Source organism: Homo sapiens, chromosome 6 (genome assembly GCF_000001405.40).
Source record: "Homo sapiens chromosome 6, GRCh38.p14 Primary Assembly".
NCBI classification, from domain to species: domain Eukaryota; kingdom Metazoa; phylum Chordata; class Mammalia; order Primates; family Hominidae; genus Homo; species Homo sapiens.
In genome coordinates this window covers 70931323-70959184 of record NC_000006.12, presented here as the reverse complement: position 1 = coordinate 70959184, position 27862 = coordinate 70931323, and the positions used below count along the sequence as shown (strand labels likewise).

At 42.1% G+C, this 27862-nt stretch overlaps 2 protein-coding genes across 3 annotated transcripts in view, besides 4 other annotated features; one reads left to right on the top strand and one right to left on the bottom strand.

Annotated features, from left to right (window-relative positions):
- Positions 1–267: 267 nt before the first annotated feature.
- On the bottom strand, positions 268–2757 carry LOC124901229 (uncharacterized). Its single transcript, XM_047419611.1, has 2 exons — positions 2657–2757; positions 268–2553 (listed from the first exon to the last, which is right to left on the bottom strand). Exons 1-2 carry the CDS (start codon positions 2755–2757, stop codon positions 1827–1829), a joined length of 828 nt encoding a protein of 275 aa, XP_047275567.1. The 3' UTR covers positions 268–1826.
- Positions 2125–27862, top strand: part of B3GAT2 (beta-1,3-glucuronyltransferase 2) — a 100382-nt gene continuing 74644 nt past the window's right edge. For both annotated transcript variants that reach the window (NM_080742.3, XM_047418209.1), the window contains exon 1: positions 2125–3346. In NM_080742.3, the coding sequence (NP_542780.1) occupies positions 2756–3346 (591 nt within the window). In that variant the 5' untranslated portion in view covers positions 2125–2755. The remainder of the gene's footprint in view (positions 3347–27862) is intronic.
- Positions 2350–2865: an enhancer, noted in NCBI's record as "H3K4me1 hESC enhancer chr6:71666023-71666538 (GRCh37/hg19 assembly coordinates)". NCBI's record gives its function as "activates a minimal SCP1, AML or CMV promoter by ChIP-STARR-seq in primed H9 embryonic stem cells {active_cell/tissue: H9 hESC(primed)}" and the evidence as "EXISTENCE:reporter gene assay evidence [ECO:0000049][PMID:30033119]".
- Positions 2350–2923: a biological region, named in NCBI's record as "H3K4me1 hESC enhancer GRCh37_chr6:71666023-71666538".
- Positions 2794–2923: a silencer, noted in NCBI's record as "silent region_17325". NCBI's record gives its function as "represses an Ori minimal core promoter by ATAC-STARR-seq in GM12878 lymphoblastoid cells {active_cell/tissue: GM12878}" and the evidence as "EXISTENCE:reporter gene assay evidence [ECO:0000049][PMID:35858748]".
- Positions 3394–3533: a silencer, noted in NCBI's record as "silent region_17324". NCBI's record gives its function as "represses an Ori minimal core promoter by ATAC-STARR-seq in GM12878 lymphoblastoid cells {active_cell/tissue: GM12878}" and the evidence as "EXISTENCE:reporter gene assay evidence [ECO:0000049][PMID:35858748]".

Here is a 27862-nt window from a genome sequence, read left to right as displayed (position 1 = left end):
CATCGAGACTGAAGTGAGCTGTGTTCAAGTCACTGCACCCCAGCCTTGGCATTGAAGAGAGACCCTGTCTGTCTGTCTTTCTCTCTCTCTCTCTCTCTCACACACACAGACACACACACACACACACACACACACACACACACACAGTGTTTCATCTCTGAATAGCCCTGGTTCCTGGAGAGGATGTAATAGCAAATAGGTTTTATGGCATAGTTGGACCAACCAAAAGTTCCCCACTAACAAAGGTTAGTGATGTTTTTAGTACAATTCAGTAACAACATGAATTTTATTCCAGCAAACACAAGGCATTTTAACCAAATTTAAAATTTCCAACAGGATGAACCAGACTTCAGTAACTTAGGGGAGAGGGGTGCACTGCTTCCTAAGAAAAACCTTTTCTTAAAGGGAGGCCTTGACTTCTTTCCTCTTCCCCATCCTGGCATGATGCTGGTGCAGAATACATTTCCAAGGTTGTGTTATATTCAGAGGCACATTAGGCTATTCGAGAGAATGGGAAGAGGTCTAATGGCTTCGTTGTTTTCTATGTTTAGGATGCACTAATCTGCAGAGTTTAATGTATGAGTTGTGGATGGCACAGGGAAGTTGGGACAGAAGGCTAGCTCTAGGGAGTTGTTGGGGTGGCTGGGTGTTAGTCTGAAATTTCACTCTCACGTTTCAGAATCTGAAGAGGAAGTTAGGGAAATTCACAGATGAGCCAATGCCTTTTAACAGGTGGGGGGTTCAGGGGTAGGACTGGGAGAAGAGGAGCTGTCAGAAAAGCTGGAGAGCCATTCGCCCCAGAGCTCTCAGTTGCACCAGAACGCACAGTCGGAGAGAGATTTATTTGTGAACAAGCCCGAGAAAGGCAGACAACCCAGACAAGATGGGCTCAGAAATTATTTATCATAGGCTAGGGCAGAACAGTCTGGAGCTTTCCTTCTGCTTTGCAAGCACTTCCCTGGGACCTGCCTGGGAAGCACAGCCCTTCTTCCTGGTAAGTTACAGAAGGTCAGGCACTCAGCTAGTAGGCCAGCTAGACAGCAAAAAGTGTCTAAACTAAGTGCCAACTGTTTACTTGGGGTCTTCCAGACCCTATCATGGTTCTATTCGTCATGGTACACTCTGTTTGATTTCAATCGCACCATCTTTATATGTAGGAAGGCCAAACCGGCCCGGCTGTGTTGGGTGGGATTTCTGCAGGCCATGCAGTGAGGACGCCACTAGCTATAGACACACGCAGGAGACCCACGTTCTATTTCCATATGCCACTTGCCACTGACCTCAGAGAAATCATTTTAAACCCTGAACCTCAGCTTCCTTATCCTGAAAATGAAGGCCATTCTACTTCTTAGGCCTTCTTGACAGGAGCCTTGGGAGAGCCAAACGGAGTAATTCCGGTGACAGCGAAGAACTGGGAGGGACCGTGACTCCAAATTACTGAAGAAAAATAAGTTAAACATGCTCGGCTGGAGTTTTAGGAATTCCACCCGCCCCCACCCGCCATGATCAAACTGCAGTCAGGCAGCAGCCCTCCGAATTGATTCTTTCTTATGGACTGTCTCACATGCCAAACACCTATGTGCAGCACCCCTCCATCTCCGTGGGCTCCTATTGATGTCTGCCTTGCAGTGAAAGCGCTTTTTGTTGCCGCTGTTCGATACACCCCAGCACATCAACGCAGCAGCTGGGAGCAGGAGGAGGAATCCCTTCGCTTTCTCCCCTCCTTTCACTCCGAACCCTAGGCATCAGCAGCAACGCGCGTAGCCCGGCAAATTTCCGCACGTGAATGGATTTTCCTGGCTCATCTCCAAAGACCTTGCGGTATTTCACAAAGCTGAAGAGAGGTGAACGAGCATCACCCCCTCCAGGAGGTCGTGCAGCCCCGCGGGGACGCTCCTCCCGCTCCTCCACCCGCGGTGCAGCGGCCGCCTCCCGAGCTTGCTCGCGGGGCCGTTAGCGCCAGACCCGGCGGAGAGCCAAGGGGTCCCTCCGCGCCTCCCTCTCGCAGCCCCTCTCCACCAGTAGCAGCGCTGCTGTCTTCCCACAGGAGGACTTGGGAGGACGCTGGATTCTGCAGCGCCCCCGCCCCCTCGCTTTTTCTTTCTTTCCTTGCTTTGGGATCTTGCTGCTGGATCCGGAGAGGTTCTGAGAAGACAAGAGCAAGGGACTGAGAGCAGGCTTCCGCTGCGGCGCGCGAACACAGCCGGGACACAACCCCCAGCGTCTCCACCCGCTCCTCGCCACCCCGGCGGGAATGTGAGGAAGGAAAGCCCCCAGCGCCGCCGCCCGCCCTCGAAGGCGTCCCAGAGAGCGTCCTGGGGGCCCGCGGCTGGAGCCCTTGTGCCCGCAGCACCGCCGGACTGGAGCGGCGAGGCGCACCGGGTGCCGCTTCTCGGCTTCCACTCTTCAGAAAGAGCGCGGTGGGGATCAGCGCCTTTCCCGCACTCGGCACAACTCCGGGACCGGCGGCGCGCGGCTGGACCGAGTCCCGCTTCCCGCCAGCTCACCTGGAGTCGGGGGCAGCCCCTGCCCGCCCGCCTGCACCCCTTGTCGCTCTAGCTTGCGCGAACCTGCCGCTCCTCCACGCCCAGGTAGTGAGCCCCGCGGCTCCAGGTCTCTGCAGCGCCCTCGGCCCCATGGACAGCGCACCCATCACCACTCCCTAAGTGCTGGCGCCGCCGCTGTCCAAGCTGCGCACTGGGGTCCCTCGGCTCGCCCCTCTCTGGGGTGTCCGAGAGGCCAGGGAGCGTGCACCATGAAGTCCGCGCTTTTCACCCGCTTCTTTATCCTCCTGCCCTGGATCCTAATTGTCATCATCATGCTCGACGTGGACACGCGCAGGCCAGTGCCCCCGCTCACCCCGCGCCCCTACTTCTCTCCCTACGCGGTGGGCCGCGGGGGCGCCCGACTCCCGCTCCGCAGGGGCGGCCCGGCTCACGGGACCCAAAAGCGCAACCAGTCTCGGCCGCAGCCACAGCCGGAGCCGCAGCTGCCCACCATCTATGCCATCACGCCCACCTACAGCCGCCCGGTGCAGAAAGCGGAGCTGACCCGCCTGGCCAACACGTTCCGCCAGGTGGCGCAGCTGCACTGGATCCTGGTGGAGGACGCGGCGGCGCGCAGCGAGCTGGTGAGCCGCTTCCTGGCGCGGGCCGGGCTGCCCAGCACTCACCTGCACGTGCCCACGCCGCGGCGCTACAAGCGGCCCGGGCTGCCGCGCGCCACTGAGCAGCGCAACGCGGGCCTCGCCTGGCTGCGCCAGAGGCACCAGCACCAGCGCGCGCAGCCCGGCGTGCTCTTCTTCGCTGACGACGACAACACCTATAGTCTGGAGCTCTTCCAGGAGGTAAAGGCCAGCCTGCCCCGCTGGGTGGGCGAGGGCGGGAGTGGGCCTCCGGGCCGGCCGGGCTGCAGTCACACGCCCCTTGCACTCCGGGTGCACTTTTGAGTTCTCAGTTCTCCGTGCGCGCATTCGGGGCACCGAGTGGAGCCGCTCCTTGCTGGCACTCCGCAGCCTCCGCTGGCCGTGGGGGTGGAGGGGCTGTGTGTGAGAGGATCACTGTGGCTTAAGGGGCGGGAGTCTGCCCTGGGGCTTTTCTGTGTGGAGATTGTGTCAAGAGAATAGCACAGGTGTGAGGCGCGGGAATGATTTCCAGGGGCCAGGCTCCTGACGACCTGAGGATGGAGCTTAGACCTGCAGGCGCTGGCTGCGATAGGAGATCAGGGAGGGACCTGCACCGTAGCGGGTGGCGGTGGAGGGGTGGGGGTGGTGGGGACGGGTAGGCTAGGTGTTACTCGAGGCTTTTCAGTGCCTACAGGTGTGATTCTCAGTCTAGGACCATATAGGGAGAAAGGTGGAGATAGCCTAGAGAGAAATTTGACTATTGCGGCCCACTGGCACGGAAATGGTTGTTAGAAGAAACACTGACTTCTATGGAGGTCCTTCCTCTCTTTCCCACACCTCACAAAAGTCTTTTCTGACCCTCAAGATTACTTTTTTTTTTTTTTTGCAAGAAAACCCTTTCTGGAAAATAAACTGTTCTGCCCTGTGGTTACGTCTTTTTTGCAGCCCAAGGTAAACATCTGGGCTGCCTGATCCCTTTTCACAACCTTTCTCTAAGGCCTCTTTTTGGCGAGTTAGCCAGGACACATTTGGCGGGGCCTTTTGCGTCTTTCTGGTGCAGCCAGGTCCTGAGTGCATCCGGGCTCCCTGCTGTTGAGATGGCCCATGAGTTCCCTGGGATGGCCACGCGCGCACCGCCCCCCCCCGCCGCCCCCGGCAGGCACAGGGTTAGAACAGGTGTTCTTCCTTGAGGCTGGTATCTTGCGGTGTGTGTGTGTGTAGCCTGCAAATGAGACTGAGTGGCATGGGTTTTCTCAGTTTTCTTCTGTCTACGCAATTACAGCCAAAGAAAATCTTCTTGATTGATTTGACGCCCTGTGAGACTGTTGCCTTCCTCCACCTGAAATTTCTTGACGTCCTGCTTCAGAGACTCCCCCTCAATTCCCCTTCTCCCAAGTAAACTGGACATTGGGAAAATACTATGTGTGAGTTGGACACTGAACTGCTAAAATAATCTGTGTGTCTGGTCATCAGATACCCTAACTGCTTCCCACACTTTCATCCTCATCTCTGGGTTGCTTTCTTAACCCCAGGGCAGAGCTATTCTGTACTCTTCCAGTTTAATTTTTCTGTGTGGCTTTAAAAAAATTTTCTTAAAGGTAATTGCCGCCTTCATTTCTATTCATCCTCTCTTTCATGAATAAAAGGCACAGTAATTGTCCTTCATCTTTTCTTTTCCATCCTTTCACTGTAGAGGGCTTTCTTTCCACGTTTCTCCAAATGAATAAATAAGCTTGGCATTGTATAGTATGGTCCTTACTCAACCCAAGATTAGAGATACCATCTGACGTTTTTAACTGGGCTTTTAATCCTGCATCAGTGCTCCCCCCTCCAAAAGAAAAAAGTGGCTTGCATCTGAAGCAAAGACTGTACATTTCAATGCACCACAATTTTTAAACCGCAAGGTCTTTTTATTTTCTTCTACAACTTCGAAGTTGCCTCGTCTGTGACAATATGTGGTCTTGTTGAAGTAAAATAGTGCACATTACTGTTAATGAACACTGTAGGAGGCTAGATTGTGAAGGAGGAATGATTTAGTTTATTCCGAGCTTCTAGCCTCTTGGTGTGAGGTGTTAGAAGAATTGGCACACGCAGGCAGTGAAATGATTCAGGACACAGCCTTCCTTTGATGCTTCCCAAACTGAAAGGAGGGTTTGTTGGTGGGGGATATTAAGCATCAGGAGAAAATTCCAGTAGGTTTTTCATTAGTCCATATGGGGGAAAATATAAAATGAGGAGAGGGTAAGGAGAAAAAAATAGTGTTGTCAGAGAGGACATTATAAAGGAAAAACGCAAAACTTTCAAGACACTAAACTTTTGTACAATTGGAAGTAATGCAATAAAATAAAATAAGAGCATATGCAACATTTTTTAATGGTGAGGTGCCACATATACAAAAAATACAACAGGTTTATTGTTTCTGTTGTCATTTTAAGCATAATAGGCATGACATACTTAGAATTTAAGTTTTCTATCTCCTGGAGGTCACTCCCAGACAGTAATTTTATGACTAGTACCTTTCTCTACCACTCCCCCACCAGCATTGTTTTTGGACAGATTAGGCCTTTGTTTGACATATATGTATGCTGATACATTCAGTTTTCTTTATTATAACATTTTCCATGCATGGCAAACATTATTGAATTCCATCATTAGGCTAGTGGAATTTATGAATTCTTAGTCTTGTGCATTTTCCAGAATTTGGAAATCCGTAGGTTTATTTGTGAGACAGCCTACCATACACCCGTTCTCAGATTAATGATTCCGTGTAAATTATAGTTTAGACATTGTTCTCTGGAGAAAACGTAGGACCAGATAAAACATTGAAAATCTACAGCTCCTTGGGGGAAAGCAAAGATGCTGATTAGGAATGCTATAGGGCTGAGGCATATATCTCAGCCCTTTATATTGTGCATGCACACCAATTAGTTTTTCAGTAATTCACAGTACTTAAGGAAAGAATACCCCAAGTCAGGTTTCATCTTTTATTCATGGTGCTTCTAATTTCCATGGTTGATGTTAAAGTGGATAAGATAAAAGGAGGAAAATGAACCACGTACAAATTAGCTCCGTAAGTATTGGCTGCAAATGAAGGAAAGCAAAGGATGAAAGGTCTCCAAATTAAATTAAAGACGCAACAGGCAATCTGTGTTCAATTATTCCTCCCTGGTAACTGGAATGGTGCTTTGTCATCTCATACAGCTAACTAATTTTCAGCCTTTCCTTTCAACTGATCTGCATTGCCAGGAAAGAAATATTTGCATTGAATACTCTTATGTTAACAGCCAAATCCATTTGCAAATGAAGTTTAGTGTGAATCTTAGCTACAGAAATGGGCCTGTTCATTGGAGAAGGAGGTGGTGGGGTTTTTCAGGTTTCAAAAATCTCAACAGCTACTCCTCTTCTTCCTGTGGCATTGATGGGGTTTTGCACTGTGGATCACAGGTAATCCTGCCTCCCTGTGCATCCTATCCATCTCCCTCTCTGGAAAAGCTTACTTGCAAAGGATTTAAGCTGCTTTAATAAAAGCCACAACTACAGATAAATGTGACTTTATTTTTAGTCATGTTTTCAATAACACTATTGATCAGATTTCTGTTTTTCACCAGAAAACCTTCAAAGCTTTCTTAAATTTAAAACAGATGCTTTTCAGGTGAAGTTGGTTTCACCTCTGGAAATCAATTGAATTGAAATACTAAAAAAAAATAGCACTTTCCAAGCAAGAAAAAAAAAAACTTTAGAAATTTTGAAGTTAATGAAATAAGACTGGAAGACAGGCTGGCTCTCAGACACTTAAGGGGTTATCAAAGGAGTCAGTGACTGAGATTGCATCTAGAAGATGTTTCTGGAAAGCAATGAACTAAAGAAGCCCCTTGCTTGAATCTTTTGTTGGGTGCTATTCAGCTATTTGTGTACTAGGCAGATAAAGGAGTTTTGAGGATTAATTCTGTCTTGCTTTTTTTTCAGAAGTATTTGTGTGCTTTCCCTCTTTACCTGCTGCTTATTGGAGTCATAATCTGAAGGATATACGAGTTTACAATGTTTGGCCCTTTCCCCCCTAAATAGTACTTCTATTTATGTTTCCTGAAAGGAAACATGAGATTTACCTTTTACCCTTGGTACATTTACTTTATTTAGGGTAATTCTTTTTAAAGTGAAGGAACCTAGAAGATTTTCTTGGGTGGAACATTAAAAGACCATTTTACCTGAAATGTGCCCCTTGTATTTTATTTCTTTCCCTCTGAAAGCTATTAAGAGTCATGCCATAGGTCTGATAAAATGTGAGAATTTTATAGAAATGTATATATGAAACTACAGCCAATTTTCTTAGGCTATAAATGTTAGGTTTTCTTTATTCTCCCTGGGTGTACAGTATTTGAATTATGGTTCGTTTTTGATAAGAGTTTTCTTTGGAGACCAGTAGTTTTCATTTGGATGTTGATATTTTAATGGACCAGAAATAACAATTTGGGCCTAAAGATGTTCTCCCTTCTGCCTCTTCCTATTGTCTTTTTCCATCATTCTTCCTCTCTCAACCTACTTTTCACTGATGATTCTGTCTCGTGAATAGACATGAAAACATGTTCGGATTATTGCTTGGTGCAATGAATGTTGTATCTTTTAAACATTTAGGCTGTTGCTGCTTCTTGGAAACCATTGTGGGTGGCTCCCTTTTTTCTGTCTACTCTGCTTGCCTCTAAATTACAAGCTGGTAAATTTTCTCTTGTGTGAACAGTAATGGAATAGTAATTGCTTTTAAGGCATGCTGCAAAAGCAAAATAGAAAATCCAAAGTCAATGGTCTTATTTATTAACTATTTCAGGTGGTATTCAAGTAGTGGTAGGTTTTTTGTTGTCGTCATTGTTTTTTGCACAGAATTCAATATTGTACAGATATGTCTATTTAAATGTTTTGGACTCTGGAATATTCAGCCTGTGTAAGTTAACACATATATATTTGATTCACAGTGCTTGTGAAGCATGAAATTTAAGTTTTGCATGGAGCTCAAATTCTCCCACCAAAATACAAATAAAATTGTTATACCAGTACATAGATAGATGCATAGGTAGGTTTAGAATACATCTCCAAAGCACAGAAATAAAACTAAGATAATTTGTTGTTCATGCCTGGTAATTTTTGCATACAATTTTAAATAAATGTTAATACCCTATATCATGGATACAAGCAAAATATAGTTGACATAAATTGAGCATTTACTATAGGCAAAGAAGTACCCTTAGGGTTTTACGTGTATTATTTAATCTTCATAACACCCTGAGGTAGGTAATAGTACTGTCTCTGTTTGTTTGCTGTTTTAATACTAATGCTAATATTTAGTTATGGACGCAGTCCCTTGGTGAGTACAGAGGACTTAAACAAATGCAACCTGACGGTAATATAGTTGTTTACCTCTGATCTATATAATCAGTATCCCCGTTTTTAACAGAAGCACTAGGAAGTAACTTGAAAATGTCATGTAGCTGTTATGTGGCAGAGATAGAATTTTGAACCCAGGTGCCCTGGTTCTAGCGCCTGCATTGTTGACTGTCCTGAAACTCATGTCATTTAACACATGAAAATATGTCATCATTATAATAAGTAAAGCACCTGATTAGCAGGAGCCTTGTGATATTATTACTGTCTTCTGCCATTTTTGAATTCAGGTCTTTCTTCTTGGTTATGTCAACTCTTAGCTTTCTCCTTTGACCTTTTGTTACTTTTTTCCTTTTTGTTGTTAATGTATTACATTGAAAAATAAAATTTTTTTTTTTTGCAAGAAAATGTACTTTATTAGCTTTCTTTGTTCTGTGGGTTGATCTTCCTGGATATTTCTTTATTTTATTTTATTTTATTATTATTATACTTTAAGTTTTAGGGTACATGTGCACAATGTGCAGGTTAGTTACATATGTATACATGTGCCATGCTGGTGTGCTGCACCCATTAACTCGTCTTTTAGCATTAGGTATATCTCCTAATGCTCTCCCTCCCCCCAACCCCCACCCCACAACAGTCCCCAGAGTGTGATGTTCCCCTTCCTGTGTCCATGTGTTCTCATTGTTCAATTCCCATCTATGAGTGAGAACATGTGGTGTTTGGTTTTTTGTCCTTGTGATAGTTTACTGAGAATGATGATTTCCAATTTCATCCATGTCCCTGCAAAGGACATGAACTCATCATTTTTTATGGCTGCATAGTATTCCATGGTGTATATATGCCACATTTTCTTAATCCAGTCTATCATTGTTGGACATTTGGGTTGGTTCCAAGTCTTTGCTATTGTGAATAGTGCCGCAATAAACATACATGTGCATGTGTCTTTATAGCAGCATGATTTATAGTCCTTTGGGTATATACCCAGTAATGGGATGGCTGGATCAAATGATATTTCTAGTTCTAGATCCCTGAGGAATCACCACACTGACTTCCACAATGGTTGAACTAGTTTACAGTCCCACCAACAGTGTAAAAGTGTTCCTATTTCTCCACATCCTCTCCAGCACCTGTTGTTTCCTGACTTTTTAATGATTGCCATTCTAACTGGTGTGAGATGGTATCTCATTGTGGTTTTGATTTGCATTTCTCTGATGGCCAGTGATGCTGAGCATTTTTTCATGTGTCTTTTGGCTGCATAAATGTTTCTTTTGAGAAGTGTCTGTTCATGTCCTTCACCCACTTGTTGATGGGGTTGTTTGTTTTTTCTTGTAAATTTGTTTGAGTTCATTGTAGATTCTGGATATTAGCCCTTTGTCAGATGAGTAGGTTGCGAAAATATTCTCCCATTTTGTAGGTTGCCTGTTCACTCTGATGGTAGTTTCTTTTGCTGTGCAGAAGCTCTTTAGTTTAATTAGATCCCATTTGTCAATTTTGGCTTTTGTTGCCAATGCTTTTGGTGTTTTAGACATGAAGTCCTTGCCCATGCCTATGTCCTGAATGGTAATGCCTAGGTTTTCTTCTAGGGTTTTTATGGTTTTAGGTCTAACGTTTAAGTTTCCATCTTGAATTAATTTTTGTATAAGGTGTAAGGAAGGGATCCAGTTTCAGCTTTCTACATATGGCTAGCCAGTTTTCCCAACACCATTTATTAAATAGGGAATCCTTTCCCCATTGCTTGTTTTTCTCAGGTTTGTCAAAGATCAGATAGTTGTAGATATGCAGCGTTATTTCTGAGGGCTCTGTTCTGTTCCATTGATCTATATCTCTGTTTTGGTAACTGTAGCCTTGTAGTATAGTTTGAAGTCAGGTAGTGTGATGCCTCCAGCTTTGTTCTTTTGGCTTAGGATTGACTTGACGATGTGGGTTCTTTTTTGGTTCCATATGAACTTTAAAGTAGTTTTTTCCAATTCTGTGAAGAAAGTCATTGGTAGCTTGATGGGGATGGCATTGAATCTATAAATTACCTTGGGCAGTATGGCCATTTTCACGATATTGATTCTTCCTACCCATGAGCATGGAATGTTCTTCCATTTGTTTGTATCCTCTTTTATTTCATTGAGCAGTGGTTTGTAGTTCTCCTTGAAGAGGTCCTTCACGTCCCTTGTAAGTTGGATTCCTAAGTATTTTATTATCTTTGAAGCAATTGTGCATGGGAGTTCACTCATGATTTGGCTCTCTGTTTGTCTGTTATTGGTGTATAAGAATGCTTGTGATTTTTGTACATTGATTTTGTATCCTGAGACTTTGCTGAAGTTGCTTATCAGCTTAAGGAGATTTTTGGCTGAGACAATGGGGTTTTCTAGATATACAACCATGTCATCTGCAAACAGGGACAATTTGACTTCCTCTTTTCCTAATTGAATACCCTTTATCTCCTTCTCCTGCCTAATTACCCTGGCCAGAACTTCCAACACTATGTTGAATAGGGGTGGTGAGAGAGGGCATCCCTGTCTTGTGCCCGTTTTCAAAGGGAATGCCTCCAGTTTTTGCCCATTCAGTATGATATTGGCTGTGGGCTTGTCATAGATAGCTCTTATTATTTTGAGATACGTCCCATCAATACCTAATTTATTGAGAATTTTTAGCATGAAGGGTTGTTGAATTTTGTCAAAGGCCTTTTCTGCATCTATTAAGATAATCATGTGGTTTTTGTCTTTGGTTCTGTTTATATGCTGGATTACATTTATTGATTTGCGTATATTGAACCAGCCTTGCATCCCAGGGATGAAGTCCACTTGATCATGGTGAGTAAGGTTTTGATGTGCTGCTGGATTCGGTTTGCTAGTATTTTATTGAGGATTTTTGCATCAATGTTCATCAAGGATATTGGTCTAAAATTCTCTTTTTTGGCTGTGTCTCTGCCCGGCTTTGGTATCAGGATGATGCTGGCCTCATAAAATGAGTTAGGGAGGATTCCCTCTTTTTCTATTGATTGGAATAGTTTCAGAAGGAATGGTACCAGTTCCTCCTTGTACCTCTGGTAGAATTCGGCTGTGAATCCATCTGGTCCTGGACTCTTTTTGGTTGGTAAGCTATTGATTATTCCCACAATTTCAGAGCCTGTTATTGGTCTATTCAGAGATTCAACTTCTTCCTGGTTTAGTCTTCGGAGGGTGTATGTGTCGAGGAATTTATCCATTTCTTCTAGATTTTCTAGTTTATTTGCGTAGAGGTGTTTGTAGTATTCTCTGATGGTAGTTTCTATTTCTGTGGGATCGGTGGTGATATCCCCTTTATCATTTTTTTTGTGTCTATTTGATTTTTCTCTCTTTTCTTCTTTATTAGTCTTGCTAGTGGTCTATCAATTTTGTTGATCCTTTCAAATAACCAGCTCCTGGATTCATTAATTTTTTGAAGGGTTTTTTGTGTCTCTATTTCCTTCAGTTCTGCTCTGATTTTAGTTATTTCTTGCCTTCTGCTAGCTTTTGAATGTGTTTGCTCTTGCTTTTCTAGTTCTTTTAATTGTGATGTTAGGGTGTCAATTTTGAATCTTTCCTGCTTTCTCTTGTGGGCATTTAGTGCTATAAATTTCCCTCTACACACTGCTTTGAATGTGTCCCAGAGATTCTGGTATGTTGTGTCTTTGTTCTCGTTGGTTTCAAAGAACATCTTTTTTTCTGCCTTCATTTCGTTATGTACCCAGTAGTCATTCAGGAGCAGGTTGTTCAGTTTCCATGCAGTTGTGCAGTTTTGAGTAAGTTTCTTAATCCTGAGTTCTAGTTTGATTGCACTGTGGTCTGAGAGACAGTTTGTTATAATTTCTGTTCTTTTGCATTTGCTGAGGAGAGCTTTACTTCCAACTATGTGGTCAATTTTGGAATAGGTGTGGTGTGGTGCTGAAAAAAATGTATATTCTGTTGATTTGGGGTGGAGAGTTCTTTAGATGTGTATTAGGTCCGCTTGGTGCAGAGCTGAGTTCAATTCCTGTGTATCCTTGTTAACTTTCTGTCTCGTTGATCTGTCTAATGTTGACAGTGGGGTGTTAAAGTCTCCCATTATTATTGTTTGGGAGTCCAAGTCTCTTTGTAGGTCACTCAGGACTTGCTTTATGAATCTGGGTGCTCCTGTATTGGGTGCATTTATATTTAGGATAGTTAGCTCTTCTTGTTGAATTGATCCCTTTACCGTTATGTAACGGCCTTCTTTGTCTCTTTTGATCTTTGTTGGTTTAAAGTCTGTTTTATCAGAGACTAGGATTGCAACCCCTGCCTTTTTTTGTTTTCCATTTGCTTGGTAGATCTTCTTCCATCCTTTTATTTTGAGCCTATGTGTGTCTCTGCACGTGAGATGGGTTTCCTGAATACAGCACACTGATGGGTCTTGACTCTTTATCCCCAGTCAAGACCCATCAGTCTGTGTCTTTTAATTGGAGCATTTAGTCCATTTACATTTAAAGTTAATATTGTTATGTGTGAATTTGATCCTGTCATTATGATGTTAGCTGGTTATTTTGCTCGTTAGTTGATGCAGTTTCTTCCTAGCCTCGATGGTCTTTACGTTTTGGCATGATTTTGCAGTGGCTGGTACCGGTTGTGCCTTTCCATGTTTAGTGCTTCCTTCAGGAGCTCTTTTAGGGCAGGCCTGGTGGTGGCAAAATCTCTCAGCATTTGCTTGTCTGTAAAGTATTTTATTTCTCCTTCACTTATGAAGCTTAGTTTGGCTGGATATGAGATTCTGGGTTGAAAATTCTTTTCTTTAAGATTGTTGAATATTGGCCCCCACTCTCTTCTGGCTTGTAGAGTTTCTGCCGAGAGATCGGCTGTTAGTCTGATGGGCTTCCCTTTGTGGGTAACCCGACCTTTCTCTCTGGCTGCCCTTACCATTTTTTCCTTCATTTCAACTTTGGTGAATCTGACAATTATGTGTCTTGGAGTTGCTCTTCTCGAGGAGTATCTTTGTGGCATTCTCTGTATTTACTGAATCTGAATGTTGGCCTGCCATACTAGATTGGGGAAATTCTCCTGGATAATATCGTGCCGAGTGTTTTCCAACTCGGTTCCATCCTCCCCGTCACTTTCAGGTACACAATCAGACGTAGATTTTGTCTTTTCACATAGTCCCATATTTCTTGGAGGCTTTGTTCATTTCTTTTTATTCTTTTTTCTCTAAACTTCCCTTCTTGTTTCATTTCATTCATTTCATCTTCCATCACTGATACCCTTTCTTCCAGTTGATCGCATCAGCTCCTGAGGCTTCTGCATTCTTCATGTAGTTCTTGAGCCTTGGCTTTCAGCTCCATCAGCTCCTTTAAGCACTTCTCTGTATTGGTTATTCTAGTTATACATTCGTCTAAATTTTTTTCAAAGTTTTTAACTTCTTTGCCTTTGGCTTGAATTTCCTCCTGTAGCTCGGAGTAGTTTGAACGTCTGAAGCCTTCTTCTCTCAACTCGTCAAAGTCATTCTCTGTCCAGCTTTGTTCCGTTGCTGGTGAGGAACTGTGTTCCTTTGGGGGAGGAGAGGTGCTCTGCTTTTTAGAGTTTCCAGTTTTTCTGCTCTGTTTTTTCCCCATCTTTGTGGTTTTATCTACTTTTGGTCTTTGATGATGGTGATGTACAGATGGGTTTTTGGTGTAGATGTCCTTTCTGTTTGTTAGTTTTCCTTCTAACAGACAGGACCCTCAGCTGCAGGTCTGTTGGAGTTTGCTAGAGATCCACTCCAGACCCTGTTTGCCTGGTTATCAGCAGCGGTGGCTGCAGAACAGCGTATTTTCGTGAACCGCGAATGCTGCTTTCTGATCGTTCCTCTGGAAGTTTTGTCTCAGAGGAGTACCTGGCCGTGTGAGGTGTCAGTCTGCCCCTACTGGGGGGTGCCTCCCAGTTAGGCTGCTCGGGGGTCAGGGGTCAGGGACCCACTTGAGGAGGCAGTCTGCCTGTTCTCAGATCTCCAGCTGCGTGCTGGGAGAACCACTGCTCTTTTCAAAGCTGTCAGACAGGGACATTTAAGTCTGCAGAGGTTACTGCCATCTTTTTGTTTGTCTGTGCCCTGTCCTCAGAGGTGGAGCCTACAGAGGCAGGCAGGCCTCCTTGAGCTGTGGTGGCCTCCACCCAGTTGGAGCTTCCCAGCTGCTTTGTTTACCTAAGCAAGCCTGGGCAATTGCGGGCACCCCTCCCCCAGCCTCGCTGCCGCCTTGCAGTCGCCTTGCAGTTTGATCTCAGACCTGTGCTAGCAATCAGCGAGACTCCGTGGGCGCCATGTGTGGGATATAATCTCCTGGTGCGCCGTTTTTTAAGCCTGTCAGAAAAGTGCAGTATTAGGGTGGGAGTGACCCGATTTTCCAGGTGCCCTCTGTCACCCCTTTCTTTGACTAGGAAAGGGAACTCCCTGACCCCTTGCGCTTCCCGAGTGAGGCAATGCCTCGCCCTGCTTTCGCTTGGGCACGGTGTGCTGCACCCACTGTCCTGCGCCCACTGTCTGGCACTCCCTAGTGAGATGAACCCGGTACCTCAGATGGAAATGCAGAAATCACCCATCTTCTGCGTCGCTCACGCTGGGAGCTGTAGACCGGAGCTGTTCCTATTTGGCCATCGTGGCTGCCAGCTCAAAATTATATGTTAATATATTTGTTGTGTAGACTATAATGTTTTGATATAGGGATACATTGTGGAATTACTAAAGCTAATTAATATATTCATTACCTTACAATTTTATCATTTTTTGTGTGTGTGGTGAAAACATTTAAAATCTCCTCAGCAGTTTGCAGGTGTACAATACATTGTTAATAACTATAGTCACCAATTTGTGTTGCAGTTGATCTTCTAAATGTATTCTTTCTAACTGAAATTTTGTATCCTTTGACCAAACATTTCCCCAATTCCTACCCCTACCTTTTTTCTCCTGATAATATTTGGTCTTGTGAAAATTTTATCTCATCTCTCACTATCTCTGATTTATAGACCATTTGATATTTATTTTTACAAGCTAGATAAAAACTGCCAAGTTAGTATATAAACTGTAGTCTTTTATTTTTTAAACTACGTATTCTTGTGAATAAGAATTGATAACTTCTATAGATATTAAAATTAAGTTTTTCCTCATTTGCTATGTATACATCAACAACTCTGTCTCCTAGGCGTGTATCATGTCAGGGCAGGCAGAACTGAACGGAAGAATAATTTTCAGGGTAGAATGGGAGAAAATACAGAATTATGTGAAGCAGGCTCAGGGGTTTATTATTGAAACAGAGGAGAGGAGCTGGGGGCCTGAGCCAATTTGCGCTGAAGCCAATGTGGCTGAGATGGCTCCTTCTGGGAACAGAGATGTGCTTGGAGGAGCCTTGGTTCTCCTCACCAATATACCCCTTATGTTGGCTGCTGCAGGCAGCACTACCAGGTTCATTTGACTGCTCACTTGTTGGTAGAAGGTTTGTTAATTTTCTTGTCCGATTTCTTCTGAGATTAGGAATTTCCTTGGATTAAAAACAAAATAAATCATTGGTTGAGTCTTTTTGCAGGTTAAAAAAAACAAGAAAACTTGGAGGTGGATTTGCTGAGGAGGACAGCCATGTTCTCTACCAGAAGTCAGATTGGGTCTTTTTCCTAAAACAACTAAAAACGCAGTAGTTTGTTTACTTTTTAAAATCCGTCTCCTCCACCTGTGGAAAGAGAACTTTAAACACTATTTATGTTACATGCTGAATCTAAGACTGTTGTTCCTTCAGCTTGAACTGCAGATATTCCTAAATTGTACCTGCATCTCTAGTGAAAGCTGAGTGTGCTAAATGCTGACCATTCTCCATTAACTGAGATTTCAGTTATCTAAGAGATTTGCATCTTAGCAGTACTACTGTATTACTCTGTAAGATTCCTTCTACCTACCTGAGCTCAAACTTCATCCTATTCAGAAGATGTTTTAATATAACAAGTCAGTAGGCCTTCTCTACCACTTAACAAATATTAATTGAGCACCTACTGTGTACAAGGCACTGTGCTTAATTAAGTCAGGGAGTATTTCAGCTCCCTGAAACAGAGAGCATCTCAGCCCTCCCAGATTGATTCTCTGGACTAAATATGCATGGTAGCTTCAGTGCCTGTTGAGAGAAATGAATGTGTCTGGGAGTGTAAAGCAGAGGTCCCTAATGGAGTTGTTGATTGTAGGAGTAATTGTGGAGGAAGTGACATTTGAGCTGAGAAGTAAAGAACAACAGGGCCTAGTGGGTGATGGGACAGGGATGAAGGAGCCCTCCAGAGAGAGAAAACCATATTTGTGGACCTGAATACTCAGAGACCTGAAGGATGTTCTTGATGGCAAGAGGCTGGGTGGTGAGAAGATGAGGTGGAGAAATAGGCAGCCACTTTTCCATCTTCTGCATGTCAAAGTGCTGTTCTCATCTTTGAGAGAAGCTGTCCTGTAAAGAACTCTTCAGGTTCTGTGTATTTGGAAGTGGCATCTAAATCATGCCCATTGGAATCTTCTTCCTGGATACTATCATGTCTTTATGTAAACTTGTGAATTTAAAAGTATACATAGCAGTGTCGGAGCAGGCTTTCCTTTTTATTTTTTTGCATCTGGTTTTCAGAATGCCCATTAGGCAAATTTTTGACCTTTAACTTTTTCAATAGGCCTTGGATAAGGTGGGTGGTAAATTGATAGGAAAACTATAGATAAGTATTTGTCCATCTAGTTGTACCAAAGAAGTGGTAATATAGACTTTTGTGGATCCTTTAGAGCACCTGATATCACATTAAATAATATGATACCTGAATATGTATTTCAGTTGTTTCTCCCACTAGAATACCAGGGTAGGAATTTTCTTTTGTTTACTGTTGTATCTGTAGTGTCCAGAGCAGTGCCTAGCATGCAGTGAATGCTTATTAAATATTTTTTGAATGAATGAATTATAAGACACTTGGAAGCTGAGGGAATTTATTATAAACAGAGTTTAATCCCTGAAAGGAGTCCTGCACAGAGATTGTCAATCAAATCATAGTTTTGAAGTCTGTGTTGTATGTCTAAGATTGTATTGAGCCCTTTAAATAGAAACTGGAAGATAAACGTGGTCCCTACTCTGATTCTAAGAGCTTTTATACTAAAAGGAAAGAGAATGTCATGAGCATTTATGTATATAGCAAGGCATTACCATCAACAGCCATTAAAAGGGGAGGTTTGTCAAGGTGGTCGTGAGTCAGTTGAGTATTTGGCCTCTTCACACGTGTGAGAGGCTGGAGGCTGGTGGGGAGCTCACATAGGCGTAACAGCCCATGTTCAAATCCAGCTTCACTGCTTAGTGTTTGCATTACATTGGCAAGGGTTGACTGCCTCGAGTGATTGTTTTAAGTGCTCTAGGCAAGTAATAAATATTAGTTCTTTTTGCCTTGTTCTTTCCACTATGGGTGACTGCCCTAATTGAGGGTATACCAGATAATTGCACTGTCTTGATTTGTTAAGTGCCTCTAAATGTTCTTCTCCTGACATCTGGACTATGTTTCTAGAGGCCTAGGGGGAGGAGGAGGTAAAGGCACTTGACTTTCCCAAATTAGTCTGTACCCAAGTGGAACTGCATAAATTGGGTACCTTAATTACACCATTGGGTATTACTAGGGTGATTACAGGGACAAGAGTTAAATAGGGCTTGTCTACAAAGAGTCCTGGGAGGAAGTGAGATGTGAGAGAACTAAAAGCATCTAAAGGACATTTTAGATGGAGAGGAGGTGAAGGGTGTTCTCCTGTGGGTTCTGACTTCTGATGCTAACTCCTAACGGTGAAAGCTAGGAAGTTGACTTACATGTAGCTCAGAGGAGGATGCTAACCTGGCTCACTGCAACTTCCACCTCCTGGATTGAAGCGATTCCCCTGCTTCAGCCTCCTGAGTAGCTAGGATTACAGGTGCAAGCCATCATGCCTGGCTAATTTTTGTATTTTTAGTAAAGGTGGGGTTTCAACATGTTGGCCAGGTTGGTCTCAAACTCCTGACCTCAGGTGATGCACCCACCTCGGTTTCCCAAAGTGCTGGGATTACAGGTGTGAGCCACGGTGCCTGGCCCTAGGTGTGGTTTTTAATTACTATGTAATCCCAGGGCCCAGTGTGGACCTAGGACATAGTTACTACATGATACAGTGATTATCGTTGGCACAAATGAATGAATCAAAGAGATAGTATGTTACAAAGGAGAGGGCACGAAATAGATTTTTTTTTTGAGCACATGATTAGAAGCAGTATTTTAAGGTCATTTCCTGGGCTGGGAAGGTTAGGAATATTCTTCTGACCAGCACCTGTTGGAGGAGGTGGAAAGGATCCCAGATGCCAGCCTTCTCTGTGTCCACCCTTCTCCCAGCCTTGCCTGGGGACACTGAGCCCCTTGCTGGGCTTCAAGTGCCTGATGCTTTTTTGGGAAGCCCCATAAGCTTGCTTCTCTTTTTGCAAACATTGCTTAAGTTTTCATTAATAAAAACATTCTAAAGCTTATTTAGTCCAGAATGAGGAAAATGTAGGAGAGAGAGAGGGTGTGGGTGTGTGTGTGGGGCGAGGGGGTGTCTGTGTGTGGTTTTACCTACCTATGTGGTTGCCCCTTCTTACCTGTGAATGCAGTGGCTGCTTTCCTTGTTCCTTCTCCACAGACCCTGTACCCTCCATTTCAGTTTCTGGCAAGAATTGTGGCCAGACCCAGGGATCTGATGCAGTGGTCCCCAACATTTTCTGGTCACATAATTTCTAAAAGAATTTTGTAACATTAACCCTCTGGGATATTTTTTAATTGACATCTACATTTTATTTTTTTTATTATTTTATTATTATTATACTTTAAGTTTTAGGGTACATGTGCACAATGTGCAGGTTAGTTACATATGTATACATGTGCCATGCTGGTGTGCTGCACCCATTAACTAGTCTTTTAGCATTAGGTATATCTCCTAATGCTATCCCTCCCCCCAACCCCCACCCCACAACAGTCCCCAGAGTGTGATGTTCCCCTTCCTGTGTCTGTGTTCTCATTGTTCAATTCCCATCTATGAGTGAGAACATGCGGTGTTGGTTTTTTGTCCTTGCAATAGTTTACTGAGAATGATGATTTCCAATTTCATCCATGTCCCTGCAAAGGACATGAACTCATCATTTTTTATGGCTGCATAGTATTCCATGGTGTATATATGCCACATTTTCTTAATCCAGTCTATCATTGTTGGACATTTGGGTTGGTTCCAAGTCTTTGCTATTGTGAATAGTGCTGCAATAAACATACATGTGCATGTGTCTTTATAGCAGCATGATTTATAGTCCTTTGGGTATATACCCAGTAATGGGATGGCTGGATCAAATGGTATTTCTAGTTCTAGATCCCTGAGGAATCGCCGCACTGACTTCCACAATGGTTTTACTAGTTTACAGTCCCACCAACAGTGTAAAAGTGTTCCTATTTCTCCACATCCTCTCCAGCACCTGTTGTTTCCTGACTTTTTAATGATCACCATTCTAACTGGTGTGAGATGGTATCTCATTGTGGTTTTGATTTGCATTTCTCTGATGGCCAGTGATGAGCGTTTTTTCATATGTCTTTTGGCTGCATAAATGTCTTCTTTTGAGAAGTGTCTATTCATGTCCTTCGCCCACTTGTTGATGGGGTTGGTTGGTTTTTTCTTGTAAATTTGTTTGAGTTCATTGTAGATTCTGGATATTAGCCCTTTGTCAGATGAGTAGGTTGCGAATATTTTCTCCCATTTTGTAGGTTGCCTGTTCACTCTGATGGTAGTTTCTTTTGCTGTGCAGAAGCTCTTTAGTTTAATTAGATCCCATTTGTCAATTTTGGCTTTTGTTGCCAATGCTTTTGGTGTTTTAGACATGAAGTCCTTGCCCATGCCTATGTCCTGAATGGTAATGCCTAGGTTTTCTTCTAGGGTTTTTATGGTTTTAGGTCTAACGTTTAAGTTTCCATCTTGAATTAATTTTTGTATAAGGTGTAAGGAAGGGATCCAGTTTCAGCTTTCTACATATGGCTAGCCAGTTTTCCCAGCACTATTTATTAAATAGGGAATCCTTTCCCCATTGCTTGTTTTTCTCAGGTTTGTCAAAGATCAGATAGTTGTAGATATGCAGCGTTATTTCTGAGGGCTCTGTTCTGTTCCATTGATCTATATCTCTGTTTTGGTACCAGTACCATGCTGTTTTGGTTACTGTAGCCTTGTAGTATAGTTTGAAGTCAGGTAGTGTGATGCCTCCAGCTTTGTTCTTTTGGCTTAGGATTGACTTGACGATGTGGGCTCTTTTATGGTTCCATATAAACTTTAAAGTAGTTTTTTCCAATTCTGTGAAGAAAGTCATTGGTAGCTTGATGGGGATGGCATTGAATCTATAAATTACCTTGGGCAGTATGGCCATTTTCACAATATTGATTCTTCCTACCCATGAGCATGGAATGTTCTTCCATTTGTTTGTATCCTCTTTTATTTCATTGAGCAGTGGTTTGTAGTTCTCCTTGAAGAGGTCCTTCACGTCCCTTGTAAGTTGGATTCCTAAGTATTTTATTATCTTTGAAGCAATTGTGCATGGGAGTTCACTCATGATTTGGCTCTCTGTTTGTCTGTTATTGGTGTATAAGAATGCTTGTGATTTTTGTACATTGATTTTGTATCCTGAGACTTTGCTGAAGTTGCTTATCAGCTTAAGGAGATTTTTGGCTGAGACAATGGGGTTTTGTAGATATACAATCATGTCGTCTGCAAACAGGGACAATTTGACTCCCTCTTTTCCTAATTGAATACCCTTTATGTCCTTCTTCTGCCTAATTGCCCTGGCCAGAACTTCCAACACTATGTTGAATAGGAGTGGTGAGAGAGGGCATCCCTGTCTTGTGCCCGTTTTCAAAGGGAATGCCTCCAGTTTTTGCCCATTCAGTATGATATTGGCTGTGGGCTTGTCATAGATAGCTCTTATTATTTTGAGATACGTCCCATCAATACCTAATTTATTGAGAGTTTTTAGCATGAAGCGTTGTTGAATTTTGTCAAAGGCCTTTTCTGCATCTATTGAGATAATCATGTGGTTTTTGTCTTTGGTTCTGTTTATATGCTGGATTACATTTATTGATTTGCATATATTGAACCAGCCTTGCATCCCAGGGATGAAGCCCACTTGATCATGGTGAATAAGCTTTTTGATGTGCTGCTGGATTCGGTTTGCCAGTATTTTATTGAGGATTTTTGCATCCATGTTCATCAAGGATATTGGTCTAAAATTCTCTTTTTTGGCTGTGTCTCTGCCCGGCTTTGGTATCAGGATGATGCTGGCCTCATAAAATGAGTTAGGGAGGATTCCCTCTTTTTCTATTGATTGGAATAGTTTCAGAAGGAATGGTACCAGTTCCTCCTTGTACCTCTGGTAGAATTCGGCTGTGAATCCATCTGGTCCTGGACTCTTTTTGGTTGGTAAGCTATTGATTATTGCCACAATTTCAGAGCCTGTTATTGGTCTATTCAGAGATTCAACTTCTTCCTGGTTTAGTCTTGGGAGGGTGTATGTGCCGAGGAATTTATCCATTTCTTCTAGATTTTCCAGTTTATTTGCGTAGAGGTGTTTATAGTATTCTCTGATGGTAGTTTCTATTTCTGTGGGATCGGTGGTGATATCCCCTTTATCATTTTTTTGTGTCTATTTGATTTTTCTCTCTTTTCTTCTTTATTAGTCTTGCTAGTGGTCTATCAATTTTGTTGATCCTTTCAAATAACCAGCTCCTGGATTCATTAATTTTTTGAAGGGTTTTTTGTGTCTCTATTTCCTTCAGTTCTGCTCTGATTTTAGTTATTTCTTGCCTTCTGCTAGCTTTTGAATGTGTTTGCTCTTGCTTCTTTAGTTCTTTTAATTGTGATGTTAGGGTGTCAATTTTGGATCTTTCCTGCTTTCTCTTGTGGGCATTTAGTGCTATAAATTTCCCTCTACACACTGCTTTGAATGTATCCCAGAGATTCTGGTATGTTGTGTCTTTGTTCTCGTTGGTTTCAAAGAACATCTTTATTTCTGCCTTCATTTCGTTATGTACCCAGTAGTCATTCAGGAGCAGGTTGTTCAGTTTCCATGTAGCTGAGCGGTTTTGAGTGAGTTTCTTAATCTTGAGTTCTAGTTTGATTGCACTGTGGTCTGAGAGACAGTTTGTTATAATTTCTGTTCTTTTACATTTGCTGAGGAGAGCTTTACTTCCAACTATGTGGTCAATTTTGGAATAGGTGTGGTGTGGTGCTGAAAAAAATGTATTTTCTGTTGATTTGGGGTGGAGAGTTCTTTAGATGTGTATTAGGTCCGCTTGGTGCAGAGCTGAGTTCAATTCCTGTGTATCCTTGTTAACTTTCTGTCTCGTTGATCTGTCTAATGTTCACAGTGGGGTGTTAAAGTCTCCCATTATTATTGTTTGGGAGTCTAAGTCTCTTTGTAGGTCACTCAGGACTTGCTTTATGAATCTGGGTGCTCCTGTATTGGGTGCATTTATATTTAGGATAGTTAGCTCTTCTTGTTGAATTGATCCCTTTACCGTTATGTAACGGCCTTCTTTGTCTCTTTTGATCTTTGTTGGTTTAAAGTCTGTTTTATCAGAGACTAGGATTGCAACCCCTGCCTTTTTTTGTTTTCCATTTGCTTGGTAGATCTTCCTCCATCCTTTTATTTTGAGCCTATGTGTGTCTCTGCACGTGAGATGGGTTTCCTGAATACAGCACACTGATGGGTCTTGACTCTTTATCCAATTTGCCAGTCTGTGTCTTTTAATTGGAGCATTTAGTCCATTTACATTTAAAGTTAATATTGTTATGTGTGAATTTGATCCTGTCATTATGATGTTAGCTGGTTATTTTGCTCGTTAGTTGATGCAGTTTCTTCCTAGCCTTGATGGTCTTTACGTTTTGGCATGATTTTGCAGTGGCTGGTACCGGTTGTGCCTTTCCATGTTTAGTGCTTCCTTCAGGAGCTCTTGTAAGGCAGGCCTGGTGGTGACAAATTCTCTCAGCATTTGCTTGTCTGTAGAGTATTTTATTTCTCCTTCACTTACATTTTAAAAATCATTTTAAACTGTTGCAAAACTTTTGATTTCCAGTGCATTATAAATGTTGACATTTGTAATGAAATTTAAATATATCCAGTAGATCTATAAATATTGTTAACAGTTTGATACCCACCACCATTCATTTAATAAACATACTTTTCAATGACATTTGGATGGAGATATATATATACACATATATATATTTTTAAGTGAGACAGGGTCTCTCTCTGTTGCCCAGACTGGAGTGTAGTGGTGCGATCACAGCTTACTGCAGCCTCCACCTCCCTGGGTCAAGCAATTCTCCTGCCTCACCCTCCTGAGTAGCTGGGACTACAGGCACATGCCACCATACCTGGCTAATTTTTATTTTTATTTTTTTTTGGTAGAGACAGGGTCCTCCTATGTTTCCCTGGCTGGTCTCAAGCTCCTGGCTTCAAGCAGTCCTACCGCCTCATCTTTCCAAAGTACTGGTATTACTGGTGTGAGCCACCACACCTGGCCACGTTTGGATATTTTATATTGCTCTTTTTTTTTTCTATCTTCATTCCTCCTCAGAATTTTATCTTAGCATAATATTTTGAGGTTCAAAGTCATCTCCCTATTACACATATCTACAATGACAAAAAGAATATAGATAGAATTTAAAGTTTTATAATCCTGTGGCTATCAGCCTCTGTCTTAGAAAAGCTTCAGGACTGACTTACCATTACAATTAGTATTGGTAAACAATTAATCAAAACAACAATAAATGTTACAGGGTTGGGTAATTAACTATTAAACATAAAAGCTACATTTATTAGATTTCTTAGTGACATGGATGGAGCATTTTGTTGTTGATTATATATTCTGTATTGACAAATATTACAGATTGCTAGAGATAGAATTTAGTATAAATTTCATTCCTATTAGGTCAACTTTTTTTTACGTAAAGAAGTAATTAAGGTGGGAATCATTTTCTTACAGCAGTGTTTCTCAGTTTTTTGAACTCTCAAGCTTTAAGCCAAAAATTACATGGTGATCTGACAGCAAAAACTATTTTAATGATTTATTAATGATATTAGGTCACCTCCAGTTTTGTTGAATGCAAATAGTTAGAAACCTCTGGTTGCCCCAAAGGATTTATTACCCATTCATTAGAGACATTGGCTTTCTTAATAAAGATAGCAATATTTCTGATTACCTTTGTTTGGTGCCCTGGAGGTTATATTAGGTGGGACAGTGCATTTAATAACAATACAGGATGGGTGAGCAGTCAGGCCCTTTGTGAAGTGGGAGAAGGGTGATGTGAAGTGGGGTGGGGCGGGGGTGGGGGGCAGAGCGAGAGAGAAGCATGGAGAACCTGCCCCTATCCAAGTGGATCAGTTTTAGGAAAGCTTATGCCGTATGTAGGGATGCCAAGGGTCTGGGAATTTATTCCCTAACTTAAAGTTATCTGCATTCACATATTCCATGGAGAGTTGTATGCATTCAGGTATCATGCACTCCCAGTCTGAAAAACTGCTCTTTTGGTTGAAAGAGTATAAGGACTTGGAAGATGGGGCCTCTAGGCCTGACTGAGCCAAAGGCTCCCATGACCTCAAGGGAACTGACTAGTGCTTTTTTCATTTTTTACTGCGTTCTGGGTCCCACCCTTGGCATTCAGATGTGTGCATGAGCTGCTGTTTAATTTTCATCATCTGCTTTACAAATGAGGAAAAGCCCTGATATCCAGCTCCCTCATAGGACCTGATAATAATACATATGGTTCTGAGAATTAAACGAGGTAATAGGTACGTAAAGTGGGTAAACAGAGTAACTTCACTCTCTATTTGTACGTCTCTCAGAAGTCTGGGGCAACAGGAGCTGTGGAAGGCTCCAGAAGACAAGATGTCACAAAGCCACCTAGCTACTGTGGCTGTACCAATCCTGACAGTCATAGCGGCCCCAAGGTGCTGCTCTGTTGGCTGATGGGAATGCAGATTTACGTATGGTCCATATATGGACGTGTTGTTTTACATCTAAATAAACTTGGCATTGCAAGATGAAAATGCCAGTATCATTTTTAAAGGTCAAGTGACAGTTTGGGAAGATTTTTATAACTTTGATAAGTTCCTCAGCTACATCTGTTCACACTGGCAAGAGTGCTAGAGACATTCTTGGGAAGTCTTTTCTATCAGAGGAGCTGCAGCCTTGCTCTGCAGAAAAGTTCTGATGACAGTCATCAGAGTATTTGGGGCTCATGCACTAACTGTTAATTATTTTCATTTTTCATTAATGAAAATTTATTTTAATTTTTTTCATTCTTCTTTAATGAATTTAACTATTTGCCTCTACCTTTGCTTCCTGCTTTGTATACTGATAAGACAGGTTTTGGGGTTTTTATGTTTTCTGGTCTTGCTTTTCCCCTTTGTTTTAGGATTTAAAAAACAAAAAGGTTAAGAGGGTAGGTTGACAGTGCTTGCAGTTTCTGTTTTACAGCAATCCCAGCTGTTCCTCTGAAAATTGGTTGATTGTCCTATAGTTTAAAATATATAGATGTTCATTTGATTGGCTCTTGTAAATCTAGTGACATTTAAAAGTACATGGCAGCTAGTCATGGTGGCTCACACTTATAATCCCAGCACTTTGGGAGGCTCAGGCAGGAGGATGGCTTAGCCCAGGAGTTCGAGACCAGCTTGGGTAACATCATGAGACCCCAACTCTACAAAAATTTTTAAATAGTTGTGAGTGGTGGCATGTGCCTGTACCCTCAGCTACTTGAGAGGCTGAGGTGGGAGGATTGTTTGAGACCTGGAGTTTGAGGTTGTGGTGCTCTATGATTGCACCACTACACTCCAGCCTGGATGATAGACTGAGACCCTGTCTCAAAAAAGAAAAAGAAAAAAGTTCATGTCTATTCTGTTTTTTGTTATGTTACTTTCCTCTAAACATGAAGAAAAGCAGTGAGGAGAAACAAAAATTGAGTATTCCTGTGTTTTTTATCATAGTAAAATATACATTTGCCATTTTATATTTATCCTGATAACCTTCAGTGTTGTAAAATACACATTCACAATTATTCATTTAACCTGATAACCTCTAATCTCTTTTCCATGAATCGGACTAGGTACCTCATATAAGTGGAATCATACCATATTTATACTTTTGTGTCTGGTTTATTTCACTTAATGTCCTTAAGGTTCATCCACATTGTAGCATGTCTCAGAATTTAATTCCTTTTTGGGGCTGAATAACATTCTATTATATGTATATTCCACATTTTGCTTATCCATTCATCTCTTGATAGGAAGTTGTGTTGCTTTCACATTTTACCTATTGTGAATAATACTGGTACCAATATTAGTGTACACATAATCTGAGTCCCTGCTTTCCGTTCTTTTGGGTATATACACAGAAGTAAAATTGCTAGACACAATGGTACTTCTATGTCAGTTTTTTGAAGAACTACCCTACTGTTTTCCATAGCAGTTACACCATTTTACATTTCTATCACCAGACCACGAGGGTAACAATTTCTCCACACCTTAGCCACCACTTGTTATTTTTTGTTTTTTGGGTAATAGCCATGCAAAAAAATATGAAGTAAAGTGAAATATCATTATGAAAGGTGTGAAGTGATATGTCTTTGTGATTTTGATTTGCATCTCTCCTATAATTAGTGATGTTGAACATCTTTTCATGTGCTTATTGGCCATTTGTCTGTCTTCTTTGGGGAAATATCTCTTCAAGCCTATTCTGCCCATTTTTGAATTGGGTTTTGTTGTTTTTAGGAATTCTTTAGATATTTTGGATATTAGTCACTTATCAGATATGTGATTTGCAAATGAGGATGGCCTTTTTATTTTGTTGATTGTGTTCTTTGCACAATAGTTTTTATTTTTGATGAAATATAATTTTCTATTTTGTGCTTTTGGTGTTATATATCTAAGAAATCATGCCAAATTCAATGTCATGAAGGCTTTCTCCTGTTTTCTTCTAATAGTGTGTAGTTTTAGCTCTTTTGTACGTGGTGTTGGGTAAGGGTTCAACTTCATCCTTTTGCATGGGAATATCCAGTTTTTTTCCCAGCTGCATTTGTCAAAAAGACTCTTCTTTCTTCCGTTGAATGATCTCAGTGGAAGTCACTGATCTCATCAAAAATCACTGACCATATGTGGGAGCATAACCACCTGATGGGTTCTTCTTGCCTGCTGCCCAAATATAGCTGGTTTATCAAGATGGGAATTGCAATAGAGAAAGAGCTTTACACATGTACAGCTGGCTAAATGGGAGACTGGAGCTTTATTATTAAATAAATAAGCCTCCCCCAAAATTTGGATGCTAGGGTTTTCTCTTTTTTTTTCTTTTTTTATTATTATACTTT

Coding starts and splice junctions, on each gene's coding strand:
- LOC124901229 (XM_047419611.1), bottom strand. CDS start 2,757: ATGGTGCACGCTCCCTGGCCTCTCGGACACCCCAGAGAGGGGCGAGCC. Junction 2,554..2,656: donor GCGCCAGCACTTAGGGAGTG/GTGATGGGTGCG, acceptor CGCAAGCTAGAG/CGACAAGGGGTGCAGGCGGG.